The sequence below is a fragment of the Homo sapiens genome, chromosome 1, assembly GCF_000001405.40.
Source record: "Homo sapiens chromosome 1, GRCh38.p14 Primary Assembly".
Classification (NCBI taxonomy): Eukaryota; Metazoa; Chordata; class Mammalia; order Primates; family Hominidae; genus Homo; species Homo sapiens.
The window spans coordinates 176,764,543-176,778,152 of NC_000001.11; the positions used below are offsets into that span (position 1 = coordinate 176,764,543).

The 13,610-nt window shown below is 40.9% G+C and overlaps 1 protein-coding gene across 6 annotated transcripts in view; it reads left to right on the top strand.

The window, feature by feature from the left end:
* PAPPA2 (pappalysin 2) overlaps positions 1-13,610 on the top strand; it is a 382,427-nt gene that overhangs the window by 301,368 nt on the left and 67,449 nt on the right. For all 6 annotated transcript variants that reach the window (XM_047427180.1, XM_017002024.2, XM_017002023.2 and 3 more), the window contains 3 exons: positions 1,124-1,295; positions 5,065-5,242; positions 6,425-6,638. In XM_047427180.1, the coding sequence (XP_047283136.1) occupies positions 1,124-1,295; positions 5,065-5,242; positions 6,425-6,638 (564 nt within the window). The remainder of the gene's footprint in view (positions 1-1,123; positions 1,296-5,064; positions 5,243-6,424; positions 6,639-13,610) is intronic.

Consider the following 13,610-nt stretch of genomic DNA (forward strand, 5'->3'; position numbering starts at 1 on the left):
CTCTATGGTTCTGCCATGGCAAGAGGGTGACACTCATTTTGCTCCAGTGTATTCTTTTTTTTTTTTTTTTTTGAGACGGAGTCTCGCTCTGTCGCTCAGGCTGGAGTGCAGTGGCGAGATCTGGGCTCACTGCAAGCTCCGCCTCCCGGGTTCACGCCATTCTCCTGCCTCAGCCTCCCTAGTAGCTGGGACTACAGGTGCCTGCAACCACATCCGGCTAATTGTTTGTATTTTTAGTAGAGATGGGGTTTCACCGTGTTAGCCAGGACAGTCTCTATCTCCTGACCTCGTGATCCGCCCGCCTTGGCCTCCCAAAGCGCTGGGATTATGGGCGTGAGCCACCGCATCCGGCCTGCTCCAGTGTATTCTTGCTGCTGTTATGATCCAGGCTGAGTCTAGATTGGCCCTGGCAATCCAAGCAGCAGTTCTCTGCTGAGAGGATGTCTGTGGAAGCATCTAGCATAAGTTAGGCATGGGACATGGATTCAAGAGGTGTGAATTTCCTCTTCCAGTAATCGGTTCAATTTCTGCTCAGTCTGTGCTAATATTCAGTGGTATGTACTGCTATGGCTTTAGCAGTTGTGAAAATATTTCCATACCAATCGGTTAATTGGTGTTGCCTTTCTGTCACCTTAGAAACCTAGGCCCTTCAGACATGGCCTTCTGTGTCACCTTGTGATCAAACATTTGAAAGATTCATGCCTGACATAATGAGGGGCCTCCAGGATTCACTCCTGAGCTTTGTCCTGGATTTGTTCTAATTGCTTGGGACCCAACAGTACTGGTTGTTAAATATTTTGAGTGTCATCCCATGATCTATTCATTTCTGAGCCACACAGAACTCTCAGAATCTGTTCTCCACCTCATTTCATCACCATTTGATCCTCCTGGAAGAAAGAGCCATAGAAAGTCAACTAACTGTTACTTGTTAGCTGTTAGTTTTTATGTCTATTATGCTGCATGGTGTTGGGTAGTAGAGAAAAAAGGTGATGAGTTAAATATCAGTTTTGGAGAAAATTGTTCTCTCTGGTTTAGGAGCCCTCCCAGATGGAGCTGCAAAGTCATTGCTCCTCCTTACTGGTTCTCAACCAGTCCTAAGATGGTTCTATTTCTCTTATCCCAGCTGTATCCATCGGCCCTGTGGGAAGCAGGACAGCTGTCCGTCATTGCTGCTTGATCATGCTGATGTGGTGAACTGTACCTCTATAGGCCCAGGTCTCATGAAGTGTGCTATCACTTGTCAAAGGGGATTTGCCCTTCAGGCCAGCAGTGGGCAGTACATCAGGCCCATGCAGGTGAGTTGAAAGAACACTATCACCAGGACCAAGTTCCTGGGAAGGGGAGGTATTCACACTCTTCTCTCTGGCTCCACAGGGAAAGAGCAGATGTTTTTAAACCATTTGAAAGCAAAACATGGGGGCTCTAACAAGCAGAGAGAATGATGGCTTAATAGAAATGCAAGGTATATAAAAGCATGTACAGTGCTGATTAAGTGGGTTGGTGGGCAGTAAAGGGCAATGCTTATTCTGTTCTTCTCCCTTGTTTATTTCTGTCAGAAATTATTTTCCCTCCTTTTGCCTTTAAGATGAGAATGCCAAAGTTCAGACTTGTCTGTAATTTTCAGGAAAGACTGGTTGTAATCAGCATGTCTGTGGTTCACAATGTCCACCCCACAACAACCCTCCAACAAAAAGACTGAAGAAATAGAACCCGATTTTCTCCCCAGAAGCATTAAAGCTGTTACTGAGGCAGAGATTCTGTCATGATTCTCACTCTGGCCAAATTTTCCAAATTTCTACAAGCTCCATTTCAAATTTCTACAGCACCATTTTCAGAATTTCAAGATGGTTTGGAGGTAGTAGAATATGTAGATTAACAGGGTGACTCAGGAGACAGATCGGAATTAAATTTTGGCTCCACTGTATATAAGATGTGTAACTTTGGATTAAAAAATAAACAAAAGAAATTAATCTCCTTAAGCTTGTTTTCACATTTTTTAAATGATTAGAACAGAATACTTATCTGATTGAGTTATTATGATGGCTGGAAATAATTTAAATGCTTTTAGCAAAATGATAGGTACATAGCACTCTATTTGTTAAATTGTCAGTATTATGAGCATGATCATGTATTCTCAACTAAGAATTCTGTTTTCCATCTTGCCTTTAGAGAGTCTTCAATTCCCCACAGAGAAATTTTAAACATAAAATCAGCCATTAGAAAACATGACCATATTATAAGATAGAAAAAGGATGCACCAGGGAAGAGATGATGGTGCTCGAGGAAAAAAACAGAAAGATGTGGTCTCATAAGGAAAGAGTGGACATACAACTGTTAGCTAGACATCAGTGATTTACAAGAGTTGATTTTTTTTTTTTGTGCCAATTGATTGCTTAACAGGTTGGGAACCTGTGGGAGAATTCCACTTGCTTAGAGATGTCAGTATTTAAAGGTATACACTTTGGCTTCAGCTGGCTTAGGTTCTGCCTAGAGAGAAACAGCTTTAATATACCTTGAGGCACCAACTTCTTGGTCTGTGAAGCTTTAGCCAGGAAGGCAGAGCCCTTATTACCTGTTCTTTACCCATCTCAACTCAGGCAAAGGAATGTCCACTCCAGAAAAGAAATAAAAAGAATGGAAAAAAATGCAGGGACTGAATCCACTCGTGATAGGTGAAGAAGGGGAGAGAAGAAAAGACAACATGTATAATGCATTAAAATTAGAAGCAAATTCAAAACAAAATGGACAGTACCTAACAGAGACAGGAGAAGCACCAGGCAATAGATGCAGATTTTGAGAGGCATTCTTTTTTTTTGAGACGGAGTCTCGCTCTGTCGCCCAGGCTGGAGTGCAATGGCACGATCTCAGCTCACTGCAACCTCCCAACCTCCACCTCCCGGGTTCAAGCGATTCTCCTGCCTCAGCCTCCTGAGTAGCTGGGACTACAGGTGCATGCCACCACACCCAGCTAATTTTTGTATTTTTAGTAGAGACGGGGTTTCACCATGTCAGCCAGAATGGTCTCCATCTGCTGACCTCGTGATCCGCCCACCTTGCCCTCCCAAAGTGCTGGGATTACAGGTGTGAGCCACTGCCCCCAGCCTTGAGAGGCATTCATGAGGTGATAGTGGCTCATTGTAGTTAGAGCCAGACTTGCAGGCTGTGTTAAGCATGGGTATCATCTGGGCTGGGAGAAGGGTGGGAGCTCACGCTTTGCCAACCACATGGCACAGTCAGCAACAGTGCTCTCCAGCTGACCAAACGTGCTGTCACCTCAGGCTGGTCCCATGAAGAAAATTATAGAATCCTGGTCGTGATCACAAGACAGTGGGGATATTTGCTTTTTGTTGACGCAAGAACCGAAACTAAACAGAAAAATGTGTCTGGCTTTGAATTGGGTCCTTCTGGCAAGCAATGGAGAAACACTGGGAAGCGGGAAGGAGCAGCTAGCCAGGAGTTGGTGTCAGGGGTGACAGGTGCCTTCAGCGGTCATTGTACCTGTGGCTTTGGTGCCACTGTGATTTCCTGGCAGGATGGCTGGCTCAGCCATAGAAACTCCCCTTTCTATCTTTGACCTTTGATAATCCAGTAGCTAGAATGTTGGCTGCACGTTTTTCAAACAAGCCATAAGCTTCTAGGTCTCCAGGTCCTGCCTTGTTACATTCCCCCCACCCTAGACACCTTCTTCTCCCACCTCCCCCTGTACTGCTGGGAAGTCCTGATCATTTTTCAAAGGCCAATCCTGTATTACCTATTCTGTGGAACTTCTCCTACATGCTCTCCTCCCTGGCCGAGGATGGCAGTTCCTCCTCCAGCTCCTGTTATACCATCACACAGGAGCATGCATTATACAATATGGCTTTATTGTTGCATATTTGTGTTTTCTTTCTTCTTGATCCCAGTTTTCTACTTCTGTTTTATGGTTTTCAGTCTTTATATGGCATTCTTTCCAACCATTACAGAAGGGGATAGGATATAACAAACCAAAATGTAGCTCTAACATTTCCTTCTTTACTTTCTTTTCTGCCTTTCTCCCTCCTTTTCTCCTTTCTATTCTTCCTCCTTCACATGTTTTTGAACCGTTGTTTCAACATGTGATTTGCTTGCCTGGTCGATTTTTAGTTCCCGGAGGATATTTTGTTTAGGACAGGACCTGGCCCTCTTAGGTGCTCGATAAATATCTCTTGATTGAATTAGTAGCAGTGTGCTGTAGGGCTGCCCTACTGAAATGACAGGCACTAGGAAATGGCTAGAATCTCTCACATTTAACCACAAGGTTTGGAAGATGCCTTGTATGCATTAACTCTCAGCACCATTCTCAGTGGAGGTAATTATTTTCAGTAGCATTATCAGCTGGCTTATTAATAAGAGTGCCAGCAGGAGACAGATGACATACTCAAAAGTGGGCAATTTGAGAGAATTTAATCAAGAGACCACTCATAAATGTGCAGGCAGGATATAGGAAAATCACAAGGCGATGGTGCAGTATCCCAGGTGAAGGGACTCAGTCATCACCCCTAGGCCTGAAAGGTTTACCTTAGGAGTGCAGAATCACAGGAAGGAGCAGAAACTGTGTAGAGCAGGCTTCCAGAAGATGCAGCCAATCTGCAGCGACCCTTGGGAGAGAGTGGGGAGAATCAGCACCCTGGCCTCCCTCTTCTCCTCTCCCTCTCCAGGCTGCTGACACTGTGTCCTGGATCTGAATGCAAGTACAAGTCAGAGGCATGAAACCCACTGGAGTCAGTTTCCCTGGCCCAGAGCAGAGTAGAGAAGGGTAGAGAACAGGTCTGGAGGAGCAACTGGAAAGCAGACAACAGAGCTGGCCTGGAGGAGTCTTGCCATGTCGTGATTCTCTGACACTAGCAGGCTTCTTTTATCAGCATCATACTGAGTGTTGTAAGAATGTATATTAAAACAGTGAGGCCTGAAGAGGGAGAAAGGCAAAATAATTTGTCCCGTTTTAAATGTTTAGACAGATAATCACCAAGACTCTTCTAAAGCCTGGAAACTACTCTGATACGCCTTTTAATGTGACTTTGACAGAAGCAATTTCTCTGTTTCTAGAAGGAAATTCTGCTCACATGTTCTTCTGGGCACTGGGACCAGAATGTGAGCTGCCTTCCCGTGGACTGCGGTGTTCCCGACCCGTCTTTGGTGAACTATGCAAACTTCTCCTGCTCAGAGGGAACCAAATTTCTGAAACGCTGCTCAATCTCTTGTGTCCCACCAGCCAAGCTGCAAGGTATTGTCTGGTCAACCAGGAACTGTATGCAAGTTCTCTGCCATCCCTCGCTCTTGAGGGTACTTTGGGACTCTTTTCGTTACCCCAACACCTTTCCTATTTGCTCCACTGTGTCACCATCTTCTGATAACTCCAGAAAAGTCCCAAAAGGCAACACCACTCTTTGTCCCCAACTACTTGAAAGGATGCACTGGCTCAGGTTCTAATGAATGAAGGAATCTTAGACTTTCCTCTATTTTTATTTGACAGTGTGTACCCCAGAGGCAAGCCTACTGGAATGGTTGTCCTGATAATATTCATAATCAAGATACACTTTATTGTGCACATTTTAAAATTTAATATTTACAGCCATCCTTTGAGCAATGTGTGAATTTGTCCCTGGCTTTAGTGCTGGTTAGAGATGAAGATGGAGTGGAGCCTGCTCTAGCTGATGGCTTCTCAGACTTTGGTGTGCCTAACAATGACTCAGGAGGCTTGCTATAATTGCAGATTCCTGAACCTTTCTCCAAGAGATTCTTGCTTAGTGAGTCTGGGGTGAGATAATGATGTTATGGTGAATAGTCCATGGACTGCATTCGGAGAAACCATGAATTGTACTAAGGCATATGGTATAGTGTTTAAATACAGAACTCTTCATCCAAACTGCCTCTGTTCAAACCGTGATTCTGCCCCTTACTAGTTCGGGCAAGTTACCGATCCCCAATTTCCTGATCTGCATAATAGGGGATAATAATAGGATCTATTTCATAGGGTTGTTTGAGGTTTGAAATTTACACACGTTAATACATGTAAAATGCTTAGAATAGTGCCTGCCATATAATAAGCACTATAAAAGTGTCATCTACTATTATTTTAATGCTTTCTATGATAACATCACTGCTATATTTTTATTATATGTAGGTAGGAAAAGAAGTAATGATTTAGTTGGTAGCCCTTCTTTCATTTGGGTCAAGAAAGATTTATCTGACCTCTGTTTTATGTAAGAGCATCACACTGGATGCTCTGTAAGTAAAAAGATGTAGGACTAACATTTGATGTGGGATTTTTGAGATGCTACTCAAGAAAGAATAATATGACTTTTGAAAGGCACCAGTAAGTTCAGAGGTTTTTATTTCATCTGCTATGATTATCTTTCTGGGCTCTCTGTTCTGAGCATCTTGTGCTTCTCTTTCCTGGAGTCAGGACTGAGCCCATGGCTGACATGTCTTGAAGATGGTCTCTGGTCTCTCCCTGAAGTCTACTGCAAGTTGGAGTGTGATGCTCCCCCTATTATTCTGAATGCCAACTTGCTCCTGCCTCACTGCCTCCAGGACAACCACGACGTGGGCACCATCTGCAAATATGAATGCAAACCAGGGTACTATGTGGCAGAAAGTGCAGAGGGTAAAGTCAGGAAGTAAGTTGAATGTTCCTGGTCTTTGGAGTTCTACCTACCTCGCTGCTTGTTATGTTTGTTTTTCTGTATAATCTCTCTTTACCTGCAGGGCTATATTCTCCAGTCATGACAGGCAGGCAACCTGCTGTGCTTTCTGTAAATATATTCTCTCCAATAGAAGATCCCACAGTCTCACTTGCATACTTTTTAAAATAATTTCTGCCCTAATGATCGCTTTTCTTGAAAGTAAGAGTTAGCAGCGTCTCAGGTGTTATATGTGTTACCTGAATCCAACTCTGTGCCTGCATATACTCATCAGTCCAGTTTACAATTGCAGGCCTGGCCTGGTCCCCAGTGCAGACACTTATGAGCTGTGGATATTGGGAAGTTTCCTTTCTCTGCCTCAATTTTCTTTCTGTAAAAAGGAGATGATGATTAAAAATATCCGCCAGTTAGGGCTGAGGTAGGAACTAAATGAATTATATCAATCAAACATAAAATTCAGTAAATTTATTTTAAAAATATAAAACTCAACTCATTTTGGCTATTAATATTGTTATTATATCTTTCTCCTTTCTTCTTCCTGAATTTTACGTATGTGCACTCCTAGACCCATGGCAAGAAACACTTTTCCTCCAATGTCGTGGGGGATCCGAAAGAACAAAAGCTTTATAATGTAATTTAAGAGGAAAGGCTTCCAAGAGAGTCATCTTGGGGTTCAAATCCTCATCTCCCCTTTATCAGCTGAGTAACCTCAAGCAAGTTACTTAACTCTTTGGGTCTTGGTCTCCTTCCTTTCTTCTAGGTCTCATTCTTATCCTTTTAAGTTTAGAATAATGCTTGCATCCATGTTGAGTTGAAGGATAATTCAACCTTCAACTCAATATCCAACTCAAGGTTAACTCAATATCCAGCCCAGTGCCTGGCTTGTGCCAATTACTCAATAAATGGTTTCAGAAAAAGAAACTTTTTCTGAGTGAACGAAAAGCTTTCAGGAAAAGAAACTTTTTCTGAGTGAACAAAAAGCTTTCAGGAAAAGAAACTCCTTGCATTTAGGAAATAGTAGCTATTCTTTCTCTACCGTAAATTATGTAGCTACAAGAGAAAACCAAATCTGTTTCTTACCTAGCACTTAGTTGAAAGCCTGTTGATATGTATTCTTCTAAGATTTTGTTTTTGAACTAACAAAATCCTAGCCATGGTATTACCAGTGGTGCCAGGGCATACAACCTTTGCTTGTAAGCTAGGATGGTCTAAAGGGACAGAAAAAAATATCAGGAAACTATCTGACTCACATTTACCCTTTCTCTAGTTGATCTCTCAACCATGTTAACATTTGGCCATTAGAGCAATGGCCTCTCCCAGGGCCTTCCACTCTAGAAAAGGCCCAGGCTCATATGTGGGAGGGGAAGACCAAGCCCATACCCTGCCCTTTCCACCAGAGGGAAGGGCCAGGCTGATTAGAACATAAACAATACTGATGAAAAATTCATAGGAGGCAACACTCCCTGGTTCAGTGGGCTCTAGCAGGTGTAGTAAACAGTTTTTGACAACCAAGAGCACATTTGCATGTGATTTTCATAGCATCTAGAGGCAATTTGCATAGGCATGCACTGATAGACAGTGAGTACCCAGGTAATCTTCAAGTGAAAATGTTACTACAATTACCCTGAAGGCTGCTGTTTTCTTGCTTTTTTTCTCTCTAGTCTTGCCTCTTTTTTTTACACACCAGCAGCCACCTCAGATATCTGCAGAATAGTGCCATGAAGAATAAATGACCAGGGGGCCAGAGAAATGTCTTAGGACCAGGAGGAATTAAAGACAGCAAGATCATCACCAGTTTTCTGGGCCATGTCTCAGCTTTATGTTGGGAAAAAACGAGGCCTCCACCCAGAACTCTGGGTGGAGTTCTGGGTTTGAGGGGCATTTGTGGACACAGCTTTTCTGACTGAGAAAGTGGATGCTTGCATCACAATGTCAGCATCAGTTTGGGCTTAAACGTTGACATTCACAAGCACCATTCTGAGGAAAGATTAAATTATTTACCACGTTATGTAAGCTGATTAAATCTTAGTTTACATCTGTTTACATAGCAGGTGGCGGATTGGTAATCAGAAGTTTGCAAGTCTGGCATAAATCACTGCCACTTGCTGCTCATGTTTACTCAGTGAACTATGTCAGCCTGGTTCCTTGTATGTGGAAAAAGCCCAGCATTGTACAAATGAGGCCCTCAACTTCTTTCTATGATATGCAAGCACAAAGAGAAGAAATTGAGAAAAGCAGAAGGGAAATCAATCCAGAGAGAATGGGCACATGCTAATTTTATGCTACTGTACAGTGTAGTAAAACAAACAAACAAACAAACAAAAATTTGGGAGTTATATTTGAAACTTGCTGGGCATGACCCTGAGCAAAATACTCAACATCCATGTATCTCAGTTTTTGCATCTATAATATGTGAAGTAGTAACTATTTCTATCCAACAATGTTGTTTTGAGGCTGAATGTCAGGTAATGTCGTGAAAGCATTTTACAAACTTTGAAGTTCAATACACATGCTATGTATTTTCAATACATATGCTATATTACTTTTTGTTCATCTTTTTTTTAAAGGAAGGAAACAATTACTAAAATATCAGCCAAATACATTCCCTTCCTGCTTCTTTTCAAGTCCATAGTTTCAAGACAAAAGAATGATAAGTGCTGGATTTGACTTCCTCTGATGTCCCTGTTCCAGCTTTGTCTCATTCTACCCAGGGATGGCACGGATGGCATATTCATCCCCTGCATGCTCTATGCCAGTCTCTGGGTTAGGAATAAAGACAGACACATAAATAAGACCTGGGCTGTCCAATCTTAAAAATGGAGTCAGGATCTTTATTATAGTGTTTTGGCCACACCTTCCTTCTTGAAACTCTTCTTCCTTGATTCTCTTCCATCTTGCTCCCTGATTGATGTTCCTTCTTCCTGTCTGTCCACCCTTGATTTCCTTTTCTAGCTTTTTTTCCTTTGCCTATTTCTTTAAAATTGATGTTTCTCTGAGTTCTCTTTTCCAACTTGTCAGGCATGATGCTCATTCACCCTGTAGCCTCAGTTACCATCTGCGTGCTGATGATTCCTAAATTCATACCTGCCACTATAGTATCTTCCCTTAAGGGCCATAAGGCCCATAAGACCAACTGCCTATGGATATTGCTGCTTGGATATCGTGTCTACATCTCAAACTCTTAACTATGCAAAACAGAGCCTATTATAATTCCTTTCAAATATGCATATCTTTCTGTGTTCCATGAAGCTGGTTGAACCGGGTGCCTGCACATCACCTGAGACTCCTCAGCGCCCTTTACCTTCTCTCAAATCAGTTATCAACTCTGAGTGTCATTATCTTACTGACTCAGATATGCTTGTTTCTCTCCATCCCTGCTGCCAAGTCTCTATAATAGACTATTATCATTTTTCACCTCTGAACTGATCTTTCTGTCTCCAGTCTTTTCTCCTTCAACATATTCACCACTTTGCAGCAAAAATGGCCTTCAAAAAACTCAAATCCAATTATGTTATTTCCCCACATGAAAATGAATGACCAGCCTACCTGCCACTCTATTTAAGGGGAAAAGTTGAATATTAAGATAGTTTCAGTGTCTGCACAATCTAGCAGGGCTTCGCTTACTTCTCCAGCCTCATTGCTCACTATCTTCCCTGGCAGACCCTTCAGCTCTTACACAACCTTCTTAGCATAGGCTCTAATACTACTGGACTTCTTTTATATCTTCGTGGAAGCCGTGGCAGTTAGGGCCTTCAGACATGGAATTCCTTCTTCCCAGAGCTCTCCGTGACAGTGACCTTTTGCTTGACTAACTCCTACTCTCTTATTTTTAGTGCAGGTATGATGTTGTCCAGGAAGCCTACCAGGTCTCCCTAGACTGTAGGACTCCTCTCATAGGCTGCCATTGTACACCAAACTTCTCTGATGATATCACTTATCTCACTGATTACAAATGATCTGGTTACTCATCTATATTCACGAATAGACCATGAATATTTTGCTTAGCATCGTGTGCCCAGTGACTAGCTACTTATTGGCAGGTATTCAATACTTTCTAAATGGGTAAAAGCATTGCATTTATAAGCAAACTTATGATAGAATTTTGATGTTAAAGTTGATGCTAAAAATAGTAAAGGAAAGGAGAGGTTTTTCTTATGCGGTGATAGAGATCCCTGTTTCAAATGCTTTAGAGTGAATGAGAACTTTAAACATATATAAGTAATTTTTTTCTAACAATTATCTCAACAACATAGAAAGAAAGCTCATTCTTCAAAGACAGTTTCAATTTTATTTATTCAACAGACATTTATGCCTGATTAGTACCACTCTATGCAAGTTAATGGTAACAGAAAAACGATTACCTCTCAACAAGCTCACCAGAACAATGCTTCTCATACTTGGCTGCTCATGAGAATCACCCAGGGAGATTTAAAAAATCCTAATGTCCAGATCACACCCCAAACCAATTACATCAGAATCTCTGGGGGTGGGGCCCAGACATCAGTATTTTCCAAAGCTCCCCAAGTCGCTACCATGTACAGCCAAGGTCAAGAAGCACTGGTCTAGTCGAACTTTTGATCCTGTTAGATTAACATCAGTTATGAGATTTTGACTTTCCTGAAAGATCCAGAATAAGATTTTTCTCTTTTTAAAATTTTTGTAGCAACACTTTTGCATGGTAGATTTTAACACGTCTCTGAGACTTTTTTATTTTTGAAGGTAATAGAGAAAATGTAAGCAGAATTGTAACTCCAAGGAGGTTGTAAAGTATATGTAGTTTCAGGAGTTCTTTCCTCCTCACATTGTATAATAGGCACAAACTCTCTTTTAAGACCCTTTCTTTTTTCCTCCCATGCAATTTACTTCCACATACACATCATCATTAATCACTCCTCTGCTGTTTCATTAACCTGATTTCCTGGGAAGCTAAAGTAAGTGTGTTTGACTTGTATTTTGTCAATAAAACCATATTATATTCTCCCTTATCTTTCACTTCCATGGTTGCCTTTTTCTCATTATGTGTTATCTTTGTGTGAAGGTTAGGTTAACGTCATTAGAGCCCATAATTAATTTAACTTCTAAACGATTCAAACCTTCCAACTTTAGTTAGTCAATCTCTGTTTCTATAAGTCACTCGTCAAGATGCCATCTGTGGGGTGCTATAGTGTCAGATCTTCTTGTGGGTAATTGTAAACATCCATCCTTTCTGAGGGTTGCCCACAGCATCAACTTTTCCAAAGTACGTAAATCTGTTTAAGTTCTATAAACACAAATGAAGGTCAAGGCTGAAATTAATAGGCCCCACATTGTGACTATTTATTGTTTAACAAATGTTTGGTTGGTGAATGCCTTTAGTGGAGCCTTGTCTGACCTAAATTGGGGGAGAGCCTGAGATGGGCTGGAGCTGGGCATGTGTGTTTGACCCATTTCCACACACACAGAAAGATTGGTGTGGCAGAGTGTTAAAAAGCTTAAAGGCTGGGCTCTGTTCTGTTGGGTATTGATGAGGATGACTGTGGTGATGATGATTTGTCACTATGTGCTATATATGCTAAGTATTTTGTACACAATACCCCATAATTTCTCATAACAGTAATACATTTTATCCTTAACAAAATAATAGTATAGTAAAATATATTATTATATAATAGTATATAATTTGATATAGTAATTATAATATTTTAGTGTATTATTATTATCCCCTATTATAGATGAGGAAACTGAGATTCAGTGTGTTTAAGTAGCCTGCCCATGATCACTCAGCCAATAAATGGTAAAATTAGGATGAAAACCATTCTGACTCCAAAAACTGTGCTATTGGCTAAAAATGCTTTTAGTTTCAGCAAATCACTTCATTTCTCTCAGCCCTTTCCTGCATTTGTAAAATAAAGGGAAATAATTGAGTGATTTCTAGCTCCAAACGTTTCTATTTTATTTTCTATCTCAACAGAACCAATGAGAAGAGCAACACTTTGGTAAAACATCATTGCGAGAAGTGGTAGATACATAACAATTTATTACCATCAGAAAAAAAGCAGTGATATATTAAAACACAAATGCTGCACAGACATGGACTTAGTAGACAGTATTTAGGGCACTGTTAGAGTAATACTTGGTGAACTTTTGGTCCGCATGAACAGCCAAGGTTTTGTTCTTTCCTTCTTGATGGGTTTTGGTCCATTGTTTTCCATTCACATTCAAGGAGACTGGGTCTAGTTCTCCCTTGAAGACAGAATATTGGGAAAATTTTTTTGGAATTTCTAGAATTAAGTTTTAGAATTAAACACATCCCTAAAACTTCTAAAGAAGGTAATGTAGTCAAATGGCTAAGAAGGGTTTTCTTAGTCCAAGATTTATCTCCTCATTTACTGGTTAATTATACAGGCTCTGGCATTATTGAGATCTAAATTTGAATCTCAACTCCGCTATTTATTAGCTTTTTGACCTTGAGCAAGTTACTGATCTGTAGTGAACATCATTATTCTAATTTACAGGATAGAAATAATAGGTGTACTTACAGGTTTTTGTAAGGAATAAATGAGATAATAGATGGAAAGAACTGAGCAAAATTTTTGGTCATATTAAGCTTCAGTTCATCAACACTGCTGCTGTTTATCATCATCACCATCATCATTATCATTACCATCATCATCATCACCATAATAATTTCTACCAGGTTAATGGCTCTTACAAAATAACTGTTGCTGTTTGAGCTATCCTTCTGGTGCAATAGGGAAATTTCTTCTTTAACAAGGAGTATACTCAGCTACATTTTTGTCACTGGCCACTGTCTCCCATCTGTTGTTGGTTCCTATGCTAAAAACAAAACAAAACAAAACAAATTAAAAAAAAAAAAAAGCACAGAGTCCAGGAAGACTGGAATTGGCATTCGAGGTCAGAGGTACAGGTCTTCAATTACCAGCAGAAAAAGTGCATTTCCCTTGCCTA